The sequence below is a fragment of the Homo sapiens genome, chromosome 11 (assembly GCF_000001405.40).
Source record: "Homo sapiens chromosome 11, GRCh38.p14 Primary Assembly".
In the NCBI taxonomy this organism is placed as follows: domain Eukaryota; kingdom Metazoa; phylum Chordata; class Mammalia; order Primates; family Hominidae; genus Homo; species Homo sapiens.
In genome coordinates this window covers 42,586,510-42,602,740 of record NC_000011.10, presented here as the reverse complement: position 1 = coordinate 42,602,740, position 16,231 = coordinate 42,586,510, and the positions used below count along the sequence as shown (strand labels likewise).

The window sequence follows — 16,231 nt, the reverse complement described above, 5'->3', positions numbered from 1 at the left end:
GGAATCCAATCATGTGCTTGTACATATGCTCCTGCTTGTGTGTGTCCATTGTAGGTGGTAGATGCTCTGTCAGTTGGGGAACAGACAGTGTTTTCCTATTTTTGTTTTTTGGTAAAATAATTAAAGTGTTCAGTAGATTTAAGTAAAGCATTAATCTTAACTTATAAAACTTATTTTTATGGTTCTTAATAACCAACCGATGCTCACTAGTAAAAAACCTCGAAATTAATGGAAGAATGAAAGTCTGTGAGACTATGCAACACTCGCTTATAAGAACTGAGGGGAAGAATGGGACTTCAGATAGTTTGATATCCCTTCTAGCAGGAAATAAGTCACATTTTGAGAATCATTTTATCTTTCTCTAACATAGATTTATCAAATGACATTAAAGAGGATCCACATGAATTTTTTTCCAGGAAGTTAGGAATTGCAAATTGAATGACCCAGATTTCCTCCTTATATTGTGTGCACGTGTACCATGCAAACCTGGCCTCCTTACCCCTGGAGAATCTCATAACCTTAGTGTAAATTCATCAAAGCTGCTTGATGCTATGTACCATGAGGCACAGAAGAAAAGTAAAAGAGATAGCCCTACTGTTAAGGTATGAACACTTTATGTGGAAAAACACAATCTAGGGTAATAAATTGCAATCATTTAAAATAAAGTGCCAAACCGAATATATTCCAGGAACATAAGGGTAGCCTCTGGGAGATGATGGTTAGAATTCTGAGGGAGAGATTTATGGCCTAAGTAGGAAATAATGTAGACTTTAAAGATTTCTAGGATTCCTACAAATGTGGAATTGGAAGGAGCCCAAGATGTCCTAATGTCTTGCTGAGCAGAGATCTCATATTCTGTCATAGGTTTGAAAATTGCAAACTTTTTGGCAATGGAAGGAATCTATTTGGTTAGAGGCAGTAGGTGAATATGATTATCTATCTCTGTTATCTCTATTTTATTATCTCTATGCCTGACTCTGGTAGGAGAAAAGGAAAGGGGAAGGAGTCTCATTCCAGGACACTTTTAGTTATAGGTCACTTCTCTCTATGACTGAAAATCATTCTTTAAATTGGAAGTTCAGCATACTTTCCCAATTATCTATAACCCAGTTTCTACATTATTTAAACCAAAAGAATGTTTTGTTTTGGCACTATGACAGAAAAATTTGGACAATTATATTGATTGATTATAAAACTAACCAAATCTCAAACACAAAAATTGACCTCTCGCTTCTACATCTTGAATCTCTTGTATGGTCAAAAATTTACAGAACTATTTGTATTTGTTTTTTCAAAAAGTCTTCATTACTGGTTGGTTCCAATTCAATTGTGCTGAAAAGTAGGTTTTAGAAGAGGAACATAAGTTCTGCAGTAGTTAAATTTACCCTGTTCTGTGCTATCATTCTGTTGTCAACATAAAGTTATCAAAAATGTACTTATTTTTCTCGTTGGCTGCCTAGGTCAAAGATGAACTTAAAAATTTCATCTAGGCAATTGTCATAAACTCATCATAAAATCTGAAGCAGGCATTTATTAATTTTATAAAATAGTAAAGAGTTTGTGTTCTTTTAGACATTATAATAACTGAATTATACATAGTATAATTACACTAAATTTGAAAATGAGAAAAGTGAATCTTACAGAGTGGTAAATTCTTCCAATATTACACAGCTAGTTAGGGAGAGAGCCTAGATTCAAACTGAGATCTTTCTGCTTGTAAATCCATAGCATTTTAACTCATTTGTTACAATATTAAAAGAATGTTGTAATAAAAAATTTGCATGTGCACCCCTATATGTATGTATAAAAGAGCAATAGAAAATTAACAAAAATCATTTGCTAAATATTTGTAATATATTCCTACAGAAAGCCCACTAATGAGTTATTGGTAGTTGATTTGTACTTTTCATAAGCTTTCGCTTTATCTAAATTGTTATTGTCTGAAAGGAACTGTAGAAAGGAAATTTATCAAAATATTATACTTGAGGGAAAGGATTCCCTATGTAATAAATAGTGCTGGGAAAACTGGCTAGCCATATGTAGCCATCTGAAACTGGATCCCTTCTTTACACCTTATACAAAAATTAATTCAAGGTGGATTAAAGACTTAAATGTTAGACCTAAAACCATAAAAACCCTAGAAGAAAACCTAGGCAATACCATTCAGGACATAGGCATGGGCAAGGACTTCATGTCTAAAACACAAAAAGCAATGGCAACAAAAGTCAAAATTGACAAATGGGATGTAATTAAATTAAAGAGCTTCTGCACAGCAAAAGAAACTATCATCAGAGTGAACAGGCAACCTACAGAATGGGAGAAAATTTTTGCAATCTACTCATCTGACAAAGGGCTAATATCCAGAATCTACAAAGAACACAAACAAATTTACAAGAAAAAAACAAACAACCCCATCAAAAAGTGGGTGAAGGATATGAACAGACACTTCTCAAAAGAAGACATTTATGCAGCCAACAGACACATGAAAAAATGCTCATCATCACTGGCCATCAGACAAATGCAAATCAAAACCGCAATGAGATACCATCTCACACCAGTTAGAATGGCAATCATTAAAAAGTCAGGAAACAACAGGTGCTGGAGAGGATGTGGAGAAATAGGAACACTTTTACACTGTTGGTGGGACTGTAAACTAGTTCAACCATTGTGGAAGACAGTGTGGCGATTCCTCAGGGATCTAGAACTAGAAATACCATTTGACCCAGCCATCCCATTACTGGGTATATACCCAAAGGATTATAAATCATGCTGCTATAAAGACACATGCACACTTGTGTTTACTGCGGCACTATTCACAATAGCAAAGATTTGGAGCCAACCCAAATGTCCATCAATGATAGACTGGATTAAGAAAATGTGTCACATATACACCATGGAATACCACGCAGCCATAAAAATGGATGAGTTCATGTCCTTTGTAGGGACATGGATGAAGCTGGAAACCATCATTCTCAGCAAACTGTCTCAAGGACAAAAAACCAAACGTGGCATGTTCTCACTCATAGGTGGGATTGAACAATAAGAACACTTGGACACAGGGCAGGGAACATCACACACCGGGGCCTATCATGGGGTGGGGGGAGTGGGGAGGGATAGCATTAGGAGATATACCTAATGTAAATGACGAGTTAATGGGTGCAGCACACCAACATGGCACATGTATACATGTGTAACAAACCTGCACGTTGTGCACATGTACCCTAGAACTTAAAGTATAATTAAAAGAATTATACTTGGTTATATATGGCCAGTAGGGTTATGGAGTTTTTAAAAATGGTTTTTTTCTATTTTCTAAATTAATACAATTTTATTGTTTTTATTGTTCTGTATTTTAGTTGCTAATTATAAGCTATTATACTATGTGTCTTTTACGGCTATGTCAGGAGTGCCTGGGACAGAGCTGGTGCTCAGGAGACACGTGGACAAAATACATGGATAACAACAAAGAGTGAACTGTGCTTTCTTATGCACATTTTTTCTTTCTTTAATCTACTTTTAGCATAAAGAGGCTTTATTATTATCATTATTTCACAGGGAGAGATGGCATTTCAGAGTGGTGAAGTAGCCTGCCTGAAATCAAATGGCAGTAAGAGCTGACATTTAAAATTATTTCATTTGACACTAAAACCTGCCCCATTATCCTGATAATGGAGGTATTTATTTTTACATCAGGAACTCGGCATTTCCGAAAGTTTCACGTGGACTTTTCAGGAAGGTAGGTAATACTGATTGATACCAAATTGCGATGGTATTTGGTAAACTCTGCTGGCAGTAGTTTGGTCTTTACTTCTGTGGGTGCCTGGAACCAGGTTTCTCTCCTGGCCTACCATGGGCACAAGACACCAGATGTTGCTATGGGAAGAAGATGTTCAGAAAACTTCTGTGGAACTGGAACATGTTTATCTGGATGAGCCTTACCTTCTCTGCCACTTTCTTAATTGCCAAACTGTATCCAGTTGTTTGTGAAAACTAAAAAAGAAAGAATAAAAAATTGCTGATACGTTTTCCCTTTCTTCAAACCAGCATTTTTCTGTAGCAGTGGAAGGCTGACAGAGCCAGCAGGCCTCCAGCTACTGCCTTCCTAATTGGTTGTGTTGTTTTCTGGGCTCTCACTGGCTTTTTTACCAAGGCATAAGAACAAGCTCCAGATGGTTCCTCCAAAACTAACCTTTGTGCTCCAGGCTTCGGCCAGTCCATCTGGCCTTTTATGCATATTAATAGATTCTTCACCTGAGCCCTAGAAATCAGAAATGGAAATGTACTTGTTTCCTTTGTCCCTGTGTTGCCAAGAGATAAATCATTGAAGACCAAGGTGTCTTTTTCCAAAGGTAGCAATTCCTGGCTGCTTAGGATTGTGCCAACTTTCTCGTTTTGCTGTGCTTAACAGGACTCTGAAAGAGCTTCATTAGACCGTATTTTAAATTCCTTCATCCTCATTCTTTATTCAAACCGCTCTTATTTTCTTCCTTGCTTAAGTATCTTTTCACTGTGATAATACTAAATCTTTTGAATTATTTGCTTGTTAGTGGGCACATGCTACAGGAAAAAATATTCATAATAATAGTTTCCATTTATTGAGTACCACCAATCCTGTAAAGATACTTGTAAAGTATCCCCATTTTATAATTATGTGAGAGTAAATGACTTGCCCACTTACCACACAGCATTCTCTCTCTCTCTCCATATATATAATATATATATGTCCAAATACATATATATGACAAATCCAGTGTATAAACTCCGTTCCATTATCAAATCATGCTTATTTTTTCTAACTATGCAAAATTCACTCTTGATTTTTTTAAAAAATCTTTTAAACCTGACTGTGGCTTGCAGCAAAGAGAACCACCTGGTATGCTGCAGAGAGCAGGATAAGGTGGCATCGTGGCCATATGCATCTGAACTCTTCTAACTATGCAATAAAATGCTGGTGAAATAAAAACTATAAGAAAAAAACTTGTATCAAAATGCGATCTACAGAAGATTTACATTTTGGTCACACATTTATGATAAAAAATTTGAAGCATTTATCCCAATATATGAACACTTAATATACAAATTTTGGACTGAGTCCTCATCTACATTAACCTGCTAGTGATGGCAGAACTCCCATTGAGCATATATTAAGTATTAGTAAAGCATACTGTCTTTCCTGTGATTTTACATAAAAATAAATATAATAGTAGTTCTAATATTTTCTTTCTACATCCTATTGATATTTCTTGCATATGCTTATATTGCTTGTATATTATTATTACCTCTAGGTTTAGGTAATCTGATTTTCCTCCATTAATAATCATATCCCTGCCTGATTGTCACTTAATTGCTGCAAAATCCTTGCCAGATCCAAGCAGCTGAATAGCCATCCTCTGATGACCCTGATGGATGCAGAGGGTGTGATGTAGGGAAATGGTTTGGAGTAACATTAACTTCTTTCTAATACCTAGGACTGCCCCACTTCTTTCCAAGGACCATTTATTAAAAGGCATTTTCATTCTCTCTGAGCTTTCTACCACTGATTTGAAAACTAATCACATGCTCTCCTAGTTTGTCTCAAGAATTTGTTGTAAATGATGCAATGAATAAACACACAAAAGAAAAGCATGATTTTTTTGTAGGTTCATACAGCGGACCATAAAAAAACATATATTTGGCTAGCAGTAAAATCTATCAAAGTTTTTCAACAGCCGCATATTTTTTACATTCCTTCACTGCCACCAGCAGCTGCCTCTACATATGTTCCTTGATTTTATGGGTGCATTACAACAGCATCAAAGCTGTTGTAACATTGCAGGCACGTTTTTATGGGGAGTGATTTCAGCATCACGCCATCCGGCTGGCCCACCCCAGCCTTCTGTTGCTGAAATGGAATGGCAAAGACATTTAATGAAGGAGATAAAGAGTAAGATAGAGAGTGGGTAGCCAAGGATGAATACTGCCTTTCTTCCATGCTAGGGAAAGGGTCTCAGAGATTACCTCCTTTAGCAGCTCATCAAGACAACCAGCGTCCCCAGAGACGTCCAGGAGGGCAAAGTGTCACAGCATCCTCATTTCTGTAAGGAGACAGCACATGGAGAAGCAATTTATAACCTTCATAATGACAGCATGATATGTGTATGTGGTTATTAATAGATGAGAGTGCTTATGTTCCAGTAGGGTGATCCTAATGATTATATCATTATTATCATTGCATGTAATAATTATGTAATTATGTCATTAATATTGAACATTTAGGCTGTGTCTACAGGAAGGAAGTATTTCCAAGAGGTTTGCATTTAGGGACCCAAGTTTTATTTTTCCTTAGATCTAGATAGTGAATGATCAGATAGTATGGGGGTGGCTCGTATTCATGTCCAGAAGGCCCCCAGACAGCACCTCTTTCCCAAGACTTGTCTTTGCTGTCTGCACAGGGCACAGACTTGAACATGTCTAGTCTCTGCTTCATGATAAAAAGGTGCAAGGCTGGGCAGTAGAAGGAAGGGAGGATGCAAGCATGTGCATGAGAGGCAATATGATGATTTCCCTTTTGGCATAGAATATAGGAGCTCGTGTTACCACCTTGAAGACTGAACAAAGCCTCTTTGAAGAGAAGTGAGGGAGACTCCATTATCATTCCTGAGGAAGTCATAATTTATGCAAGAATTTCCAGAGCTGGGCTTCAGTCTGCACTTCCAATGAAGTGAAAGCCACTGCCTTCAAAGTGATAGTATGTTTCAGTTGGCCACGTGTTAACTAACTACCTTGAGCATATTGAAGCAGTGCATTTCCAGGCATTTCTTCTTCTTTTTTTTTTTTAATGCAACTTCTACTGTTCCAGGTTCTATGCTAGATGTCACCTAGCAATTTGCTGACTTCTTGTTACAAATAAATCCTGAATACCTTTGACAGAAAAGAAACACAGCATTCGTTGGTGCTAAAAAACAAAACAAAACAAAAAACAACTCAGAAGTTAGCCAATGCACCTTTATTCCATCTTACAGGTGGTAAAGCTGAGGTGTAGAGATGGAGAAGGGAATTATTCAGGGTACAAAGCAGAGTGGAGAATAGGCCAGTGGAGAATAGTGAAATCTTCTGATGTCTTTTCCAGTGCATGTTTTCAGAGTTGCTTTTAACTTTAGGCTTAGAAGTCAGTGACCTTAGCCTGCAGGTTGTCACTTCTTTATTTGGCTTTCATGCATTCAGAGAGTCTTTTTTGGAAGGATGTGTGGGGGGGACACATTTTTCCAGGGTCAGTGATGGACTGGCACTGAGCCCACTGTACTCCTCCTGCCATTACAGCTCATGAGCAGACCCACACCTCTTGAAAGCTACGCCCCTAGCTAGATGCTCCGTGGTGTTCTATCTGTCTTTCCTTTGCACCATCCAGAACATTTTACATTCTTCCCAATGGTCCAAACACTTTTTATCTGGCTTAATCCCTGTGAATTTCTCTGATGATGTTTTAACTAGAGAAAAGATAGAATCACGGGTGTCCTGTTTTGTCACAGTTACAACATTCTTGATCTCTTTATGAACATTAGCGTACAAAGAAATTAGCCCGCATGGCAGCACACACTTGTAATCCTAATACTTTGGGAGGCTGAGGCAGGAGGATAGCCTGAGCTCAGGAATTTCAGACTAGTCTGGGCAACACAGGAAGACCTTGTCTCTACCAAAAAAAAAAAAAAAAAAAAAGCCAGATACTCAGGAGGCTGAGGTGGGAAGATAGCTTGAGCCCGGGAGATAGAGGCTGCAGTGAGCTGTGATTGTGCCACTGCACTCTAGCCTCAGCAACAGAGTGAGACCTGGTCTCAGTAATATTATTATTAATAATAATAGAAGAAATCAGAATGTATATTGTCATAACATTATTTAAAAATATTTTTTATAAATTCTTTACTTTCCAGAGGAATCTTTTGGACTTTTCTTTACATTTCATAAATTCATGTTCAACATCTTCTCATCATAATGTTTATTCCTGTCACTCCCACCTCAGTAAAAACTTAGAATTAGGAGATTACCCTGGTTTACATGTTCTAATAAGATTCTGTGGAAGTGAAGGAAAAAAGAAACTTTTATAAGTTTGTAAAAATAAAGATAACTGAAAAACAGACTCTATGTTAGACATTTGCAAATAATATTTTAAATCTATGCAATGCAAGTTTTAAATTCAGTGTTATTTTCCACGTGACAAATAAGGAAAAGGAGACTTAGAATACCTGGATTTCTCCTACAAATTTTCATAGATAAACAATAGCACAGCCAGGATTTCAACTCTTTCATGTGCTTCAAACTCATTTTCTTTTTACTGTACTGTGTGGCCAGGCTACATACTGAACATATTCCCATTATTTCTCTCATTTAATCCTCACAATAACTCTTTGAGACAGGTGTTGTCAGTCAACTTGACAGATAAGGAAACTGAGGCCCAGAGAGGTGAAGTCATCTGTTTTAGGTCACTCAGCTAATAAGTGGCAGAGCTGAGGTTCAAATATATATTGTCCTGACTCCAAAATCCATGTGCTTCCTATCTGAACATCTGACTTGTAAGTAAAATGTAGTTATGGACCTATTTGATCAGATGGTCAACTCTCAATGATTTGTTTACAAATAAAGCCGTGTTATTATTATTTGTTTTAATTTCAAAAAAGGTTAGGTATTCAGATTTTTTCAAGTTACTTCTCTGATTTCCCTGAGCAGTGGAAAATAAGTGAAGAACTAAGGAAAGATGTGGGGTTTCAGAAGAAGTGGCAACCAAGAGCAGATGTGGCTGAGATTTCCAATTTTTTTCCAGGGTCGCCATATGGCAAAATGATTAGCTTTTGTTTAAAATGATGTTCTAGATTAGAATTCTGACAGATGATGAATGTGAACCACAGAGAAAATATTTTGGATGAGTATAAAGAAATGATTTCTAAAAGTCAGAGCTGTCGAAATATGGAATAGTCTGTCTTGGAATGTGACAATATTCAGGAGAGGCAGGGTTACCAATTGGCAGGGTTACTGTAGTGAAGATCTGATGACATTTAAGGCCCTTGAGATTGGATGATTTCCTGATGTGGCTTTGCATTCCTGTGTATTCATCACTGGATGCTTGCCTGCTAATTCTGCAGAATCTGGAATGTGTTCCCTACCAGTTGGCACAGGTGGCTTAGAAAAATGGAGAGCCAGGAAGGATGGATCTCTGTCTCAGTCTTCATCGAATATGAGAATGTCAATCTATAACACAAAAGGGTGGAGAAGATTAGTGCCAAATATCATCAAAGAGCCTCTGTCAAAGTCCTAGAGAAGAAAGAATATACAGTTTTCAGTGTTTCTCTTTCATTTGTGTTTTGCTGTGTCTTTGTGCCTCAATAATCAGAAAGGAGGGGGAAAAAACACTTGTATCAGGCTGTTGTTTGGAAAGGGCACAGATTAACTAAAATCTAAAGTTTTGAGTACAGTTATCATTCACAGTATTGATCATTTTCTTTTTTGTTTGGCAAGGACAATGTTTATGATAATATAATTATTGGGAGGTTATTATATTTTAGGTATTATTATTTGTGACATCTTATAGGCAAGCAAAATAAAGTTCAGAAAGCTTATACAATAAAATCACACAGCTACTAAATGACAGCTAGGGTTCAAATCTGGGTCCATTTGATGCCAAAAAATGTGTTCTTATTCTCTTTTTGTTATTGAAAATCTCCTTCATCTGTGATGAGTCTTAACTTTTATATCACGTGGTTTGTTAATATTTCTCTATTGGCTGGTTGTATCTTTTTTGATGAGATGTTAAGAAGGAAGCCCAGTAAGTCTCTTCTGTGTATATTTTTCAACCATGTGGACTGTCCTTCTATAAATAGGGCAGTGGAAAGAACACTAGATTAAACACTGACCTTGGTCTAGTTACATCATTCTCTTTTCACCTTAATTCCTCTGTCATTAAACTAAAAAAGTGTGTTAGTTTGTGTTCCCTGAAAGCAGAGTCTGAAACAAGCACCTTGGCGGGAAGATTTTATTAGGAGTTAAACCTTGGAAGCAGGTGTGAAGAAGCAAGGAAGGAAGAAAAGCCAATAAAAGGGAACAATAGTGAGGTCACTCTTATAGGCAACAGAGTTGAATTCCTCTGGGACTCCTCAGGAGCATCCCAAATATTTTCCAGGATGAAAGATAGGAGAATGGTACACTTGTCCATCTAGTCCTGCCTCCTTTTCATTGAGTGTTGCCCTCAGGAGCTCCACTCATGTGGTGCTCAGAGAGCTGACCCTGGAGCAGAATATGGAAAAGCAAGGGATACACTTGATCGGCAATTGACAATGCAAAGGAAGCATAAACTTTCATAGAACTGTCTACCATAGTAGCAACTGAAATCAAAGGTGGCCTTAGGGAGTATCATGTGGCACCAGTGAAATCTGCCACACAGAATTAAAATAGATGTGTTTTAAAATGTCTTTCAAAATAAAATATATAAATCCATGCAATTTTTGATCTGGAGTTACATGCAACCACTTAATATAACTCCCCATTTTTCAATGGTGAAAGTTAAGGTTTCAAAGAGAAATGATTTACCCAAACCACCCTGTGAGTTAATGGATGAGCTGAGCCTCAAGCCTGAGTCCTCTGGCTCTGGCCCCTGTACCTCATGGTTCATTTCCTAGCTGATGCTACTAATGCCTAATTAATGACCACTTTCTTTCTGTAGCCTGGAAGTCCTAAAGATGGTTATCTCCACTGGCTTAGTTAAGCCTTTTCAAATGTTATCCCAACAGAGTTGCCTTATCTATGTTGGTTAATTCTTCCTGAGACTCCAGAGTAAGGGGGATCAGGATTATAATGAAGGGGGGAGGGTGGTCGCAGGCAATTCCTTCTCCAGAACTGTGCGTGACCCACATTGTTCAAATCTATTCCTTGTAATCCTTTCACATTGCCATTACCAGTTGCATTTGCATACATCTATTGTGCACAGCAAAAGCTCTGAGGGACTGCCAGAACATGAAATCCAATAAGGATACTGAGTTCCGTCTTCTGAACTAAGGAGTGCAGTAATTAAAGCAGTATTTACAATGCAATAAAGGCAGAGCTAATTACTGGCAAATGAGATAGAGATGATGCTCTTTCCCAGTGAAACTTGACTAGAACCAGCCTTTGCTGTAAATCCTCCAACTGTCTCTTTTGTTAATTATAATCTTCATGATCCCCTTCTTGGCAATATTTGCCTAATTTATTTGCTACTTAATAGCAAAGAATTAATGGAAACTGAGGTAGGAGGGATAGAGCTCCAGATGACTATTTGGGCCCCTGAATCGGTAACACATTAGTAAAGACCTGGGAGCTATTGCTAATGACCTTAAGCCAAAATGAGGGCATTCTTTTGAACAGGCAGCAAGACCTGATGCTTCAGTAAGGCGCACGGGGATCTACGTTTGATATCTGCTTCCAGACCACATACAGGATTGGCAAGTTAGGAGCTGCCTTTTCTACATCTTTGTTATTAAAAATATATCCTCAGTTAGGAGCCTCTTTGCTTTGTGCTGGGACTGATCAATGTTTTCTCAGGTGAGGCCTTATCACTATCCCTGGTCTCAAAATGCTTGAGTTAAAAATTATTAATGCAGACAGGGGTCAGAACATTTTTCCTGTAAAAAGCTATATGGTAAATATTCTAGGCTATGTGAGGCCACATGTGATCTCCATCAAATATTTTTCTCCTCCTCCTCCTCCTCTTCTTTCTTTTTCTCCTCTTCTTCCTTCTTCTTAACAACCCTTTAAAAATGTAGAAGCCACTGTTAGCTTCCCGCTCATACAAAAACAGGCTATGGTTGAATTTCCTGAACACCATTGTGTGGTGACACCTGCAATACATTGTACATTCGTACACTTAGCCAAAAAAATACCCCACTTGGTGCAGAACCGGATAATTAAGCGGTCATATCCTAACCATCTATTTCTGTCAATGATTAAATTTGGGGTTAAAGATGTAGAGTGAGGGGAGCATGAGAGAAATATAACCATGGGACAATGATAAACAACATTATTTTTTATATTAGTCTAGCTTGATTCCTAGTTTTTCTAAAGTTGTATTTAAAAATCAAGAAATGTGATTATCTGTAACTTTAAGAATTATTGTATTATTTTCCCCATTTACTTTCTTTCCCTCCACTATTTATCTTTTGTGGCTAAATTCTTAGAGAATATCTAAGTAGATATTCTCAGATTTCAATATCTGAGATAATGCTGGTTTTAGTAACACATTTTGTGTGAGAGGAGTGCAATGGTTTGAGGGATTGAGGGACAGGGAAGGTGATTTGACATCAGAGTTTAACCATAGGCTTGGGACCAAATGACAGTTCTATGGCTGACAGTGTCTATTCTCCCAACAGAAGAATTGGTCTTGATATTTTGTGCAACAGGCTCACATATTTCTGGTTTCCCTTAACTAAAAGACAGACCAGCTCTCCAATTCATGTCACCATAACTGCACTTCTCATACCCCACACGCATTTCTAAACTCCTCCATCAACACTACTATCCAGGGGTGGGGTAGAGCCTATTTTCCCTGGTTGAAAATCACTGAATTATCCAGTTCTTAGGTGCTGGGGTTGCAATATGAAGGGGCACCTCCTAGGTCATGGAGAATATGGCTGTAGGAAGAAGGCTTGGAAAGATGCAGAGCTCTGTGCTAATGGCATAGCCCTCTTTTTTAACTCCATCCTGTATTACAGCTAGAAGATAATATTCTTACTGCAATATTTTCCCAGGAGAAGAGTAGGGGTAATTTCTCTATGTCTGCGTGCCCTATCATCCATGCTGTCTTGTAATAGGTGAGCAAGGTTTGAAAAATCACATCACTTGAAAAAAACCAGGTGGCCTGTCCACAGCTAGGTGCAGTATGGCCTCAGTGCTGTACAGGTGGGAGAGCTGGCTGAACTCAAGCAGCTCACAGATGGATTTCTCAATGTGCGGGAAGAGTGAGTGGATTACAGTATAATTATTTAAATAATTTTGTCTTCTTATTTCTGAAGTGAGATTGCATTCTCAGAGTATGGTGAGTCACAGGTGGTCATCCTAGGGCACTCCAAAGTCCATATGTGCTTCTGTGTTTCTTCTTTCTTAGGACAGGGAAAATGTAGTGGTACTATGACCCTTCCATCTTCCTGCAATAATGGCTCAAGGGTGAGTGCTGTGAAAAAGATATGGCTCTTAGGATTCAATGCCAACAATAGATTCTTATTTCAAAGTGTTACAGCATGATGTGTGGAAAGAGCATGTGTTTTAGCTCATGCTTCAGCATATGTTTAGATAATTGTGTATTTAAATCTCTTGTCCTCCACTTGCTAGAAGAGGAATCACAGGCAAGTTACTCAAGTTCTCTGAATCTCAGAGATTATAATGCCTTCCTGGCAGGGTGAATGAGAAGATGATTCGTGATCAGTGCTCAGCACGAGGCTCAGGCTCTGGTAGCTGCTCAACATGCCACTGCTATTGCTATCAATAATAATAAATCAGATGAACCTATGGATAAGACCATCACCTATTTACAATTCATTATTGATTACTACTAATCAGTGATGAGATGGGTATCTTATACATTCCTAGAAGTAAAGAGTAAGGGTCCTTTTCTTTGTCAAGGCCAGCATCCTTTTGCATGTGGTTTTAAGCACAGAGTTGTGTGAGGCAGAGCTGAATAGTACAGGGAACAAACCTACTCCCAGGTCTGCCTTGTCCAAGGTCTGTGTCTTTAGGGGAAGTTTTTCAACCATAATATGCCTTTCTCCTTCTCTGTAAAATAAAGGTATCTAAACTTATCTTACTGGTTATTGTGAGGATTCTATGAGACAACAAATCATTGGCTGCAGCATCTAATACATATTCGGTGCTCAGAACAAGCAGAATGTCTTTATTGTTGAGTTCAGAGTTTCTCCTTGGCAAGGTTTGCAGTAGACAATGTCTTTGACTTGGTTTCCTTGCTTCTTTGTACTTTTTCCTTTAGTGTATTGAGCTTTACAGTTTTGGAGGCACCCAAAAATAGTCCATTCACATCAGGTGAAGGTAATTTCTTACTCTACTTTCTCTTTCCATTTGGTGAACCTTGCCTCTGTTACCATTAAAGATTATCTGTAGCTTGTGGCTAAATTCTTAGAGAATATCTAACTAGTATTAATTTCAGTATCTGAGACAATGCTGGTTTTAGTAACATATTTTGTGTGAGAGGAGTGCAATGGCTTGAGGGATTGAGGGACAGGAAAGATGATTTGGCCTCAGAGTTTAACCATCGGCTTGGGACCAAATGACAGTTCTATAGCCATACTTATATGGCCCCTAAAATGGTGACAATACATCAGGGTCAGGTGTGCAAAATGTCTTTGGACATTTGAAACTCATACAGGGCCCCTGGTAGGGTCAGCCACAAACAGTGGCTGGACTAGAGTGGAGCACATACATGGGGCAGCGATTATCTGGGGCCACAGTAAGGCCACACAACAACCCACACTGAGATTGGTGTAAGACAAACCCTGAACAATAAGCCAGAAGGAGGTAAAGAAGAAAAGCTGATAGGATCTGTGAATTTCATCAGGCTTATTTGTAATGTTTTACAGGTCTACAGTCCTTTATCTAAAACTCTTGGGGCAAATGTGTTTTGTAATTCAACATTTTTCAGATCTTGAAAAGGTGCTAAAGTAGTACATGTAATGCATATTATATAACACCCCCAGCAAGGTCTGGGGCAGCACCACATTGCCAAACACCATTACTTTCTCAGTAAATATTCCCACTAATTAGAGTAAATTTAGATTAAAAATAGTCTTCTGTCACTCCAGGTCAGGTTTTTCCACTAAATGAGATCAAGTCAGGTTATATTTTGACACCAAATGAGTTAGGAAAATACTTTTGGTTTTCAGAAGTTTTTGTATTTTGGCATTGCTAATAATGAACTGTGAACCTGAATCAGAAAGCAGACAAATGCAAAATTATGGTCAAACATGAGTCAAGGTAAAAACAATTCTCACATTCTGTTATCCTTGTAACTAGGGTTCATTTCTCTGCCCAATAAATGTTTATTGAGTGACATCAGCAGGTCAGTCAGGGGCTACAACAGTCCAGCAACACAGAAAAAACCCCTGCCTTATATATGCATCTTCTGACACAGGGCCAGGCACACGGACACTTATCCTTCTTTCGCTTTGCTTTCTTTTTTACATAAAGGAACTACTCACTTCACTTACTTTCACCTTTTCTGTGAGATTTCCTGGGCTGATCCAGGAAGAGAAAGCAATTCTCTCCTCTATATGGTAGCATATAGTACAACGTGATTTATTCCTTTTCTTTCTTTTTTCTTTTTTTTTTTTTTTGAGATGCAGTCTCACTCTGTTACCCAAGCTGGAGTGCAGTGGCACAATCTCGGCTCACTGCAACCTCCACTTCCCTGGTTCAAGTGATTCTCCTGCCTCAGCCTCCAAGTAGCTGGGACTACAGGCACGCACCACCATGCCCAGCTAATTTTTGTATTTTTAGTAGAGGCAGGGTTTCACTATGTTGGCCAGGCTGGTCTTGAACTCCTGATCTCGTGATCCACCTGTCTCAGCCTCCCAAAGTGCTGGGATTACAGGAGTGAGCCACCACGCCTGGCCACGTGATTTATTCTTTCCCATGTTACTCCTCAGTTAAACTGAGAGCACCTGAGGAAAGGGAGTTTTAGAGATTGGATTACTAGTCTAGGGCCTTGCACATGGTAGCTGTTCAGCAGATGTTTGGTGAACAAACATCTCGTCCTCTGGATAATTGAAACACCTTCAAATTTCAATTTTATTAAATTCTATTAAAAAAAGAGAGAATTTAGTCACTCTCCATTTGCTGACTCTCTGAATTGTTACCTTTTCTTCTGAATTATTAAGTTAAAATCAAGTAATAAAGCATATTTTTAGCATCATATACCAGCAGTGAATCACCAGTAGTGATGGTAATTTTACCTTTTCCTCCTGTCTTAGCTCTACAACATTATTACCCTCTTGAACTATCAGATATTAAAATCATATTAATAATCAAGGCCTCTATTAGATCTGTCTAAAAGTTAAATAATGTAATAGCACATTTGAAGGTTAGTGGCACCCATTGGTTATAATTCACCAAGCACAAACTTAGCTCCTTGCCTCTCTGGTTATAACAACGAACTGTATTGTTTTCTAGAAGATAAATTATCATTATGATATCTTGAAATATGCAATAAAATCAATGTAATTTGGCTGAC

At 38.1% G+C, this 16,231-nt stretch overlaps 1 annotated feature.

The window, feature by feature from the left end:
• Positions 6,404 to 6,938: an enhancer, noted in NCBI's record as "OCT4-NANOG hESC enhancer chr11:42617353-42617887 (GRCh37/hg19 assembly coordinates)". NCBI's record gives its function as "activates a minimal SCP1, AML or CMV promoter by ChIP-STARR-seq in primed H9 embryonic stem cells {active_cell/tissue: H9 hESC(primed)}" and the evidence as "EXISTENCE:reporter gene assay evidence [ECO:0000049][PMID:30033119]".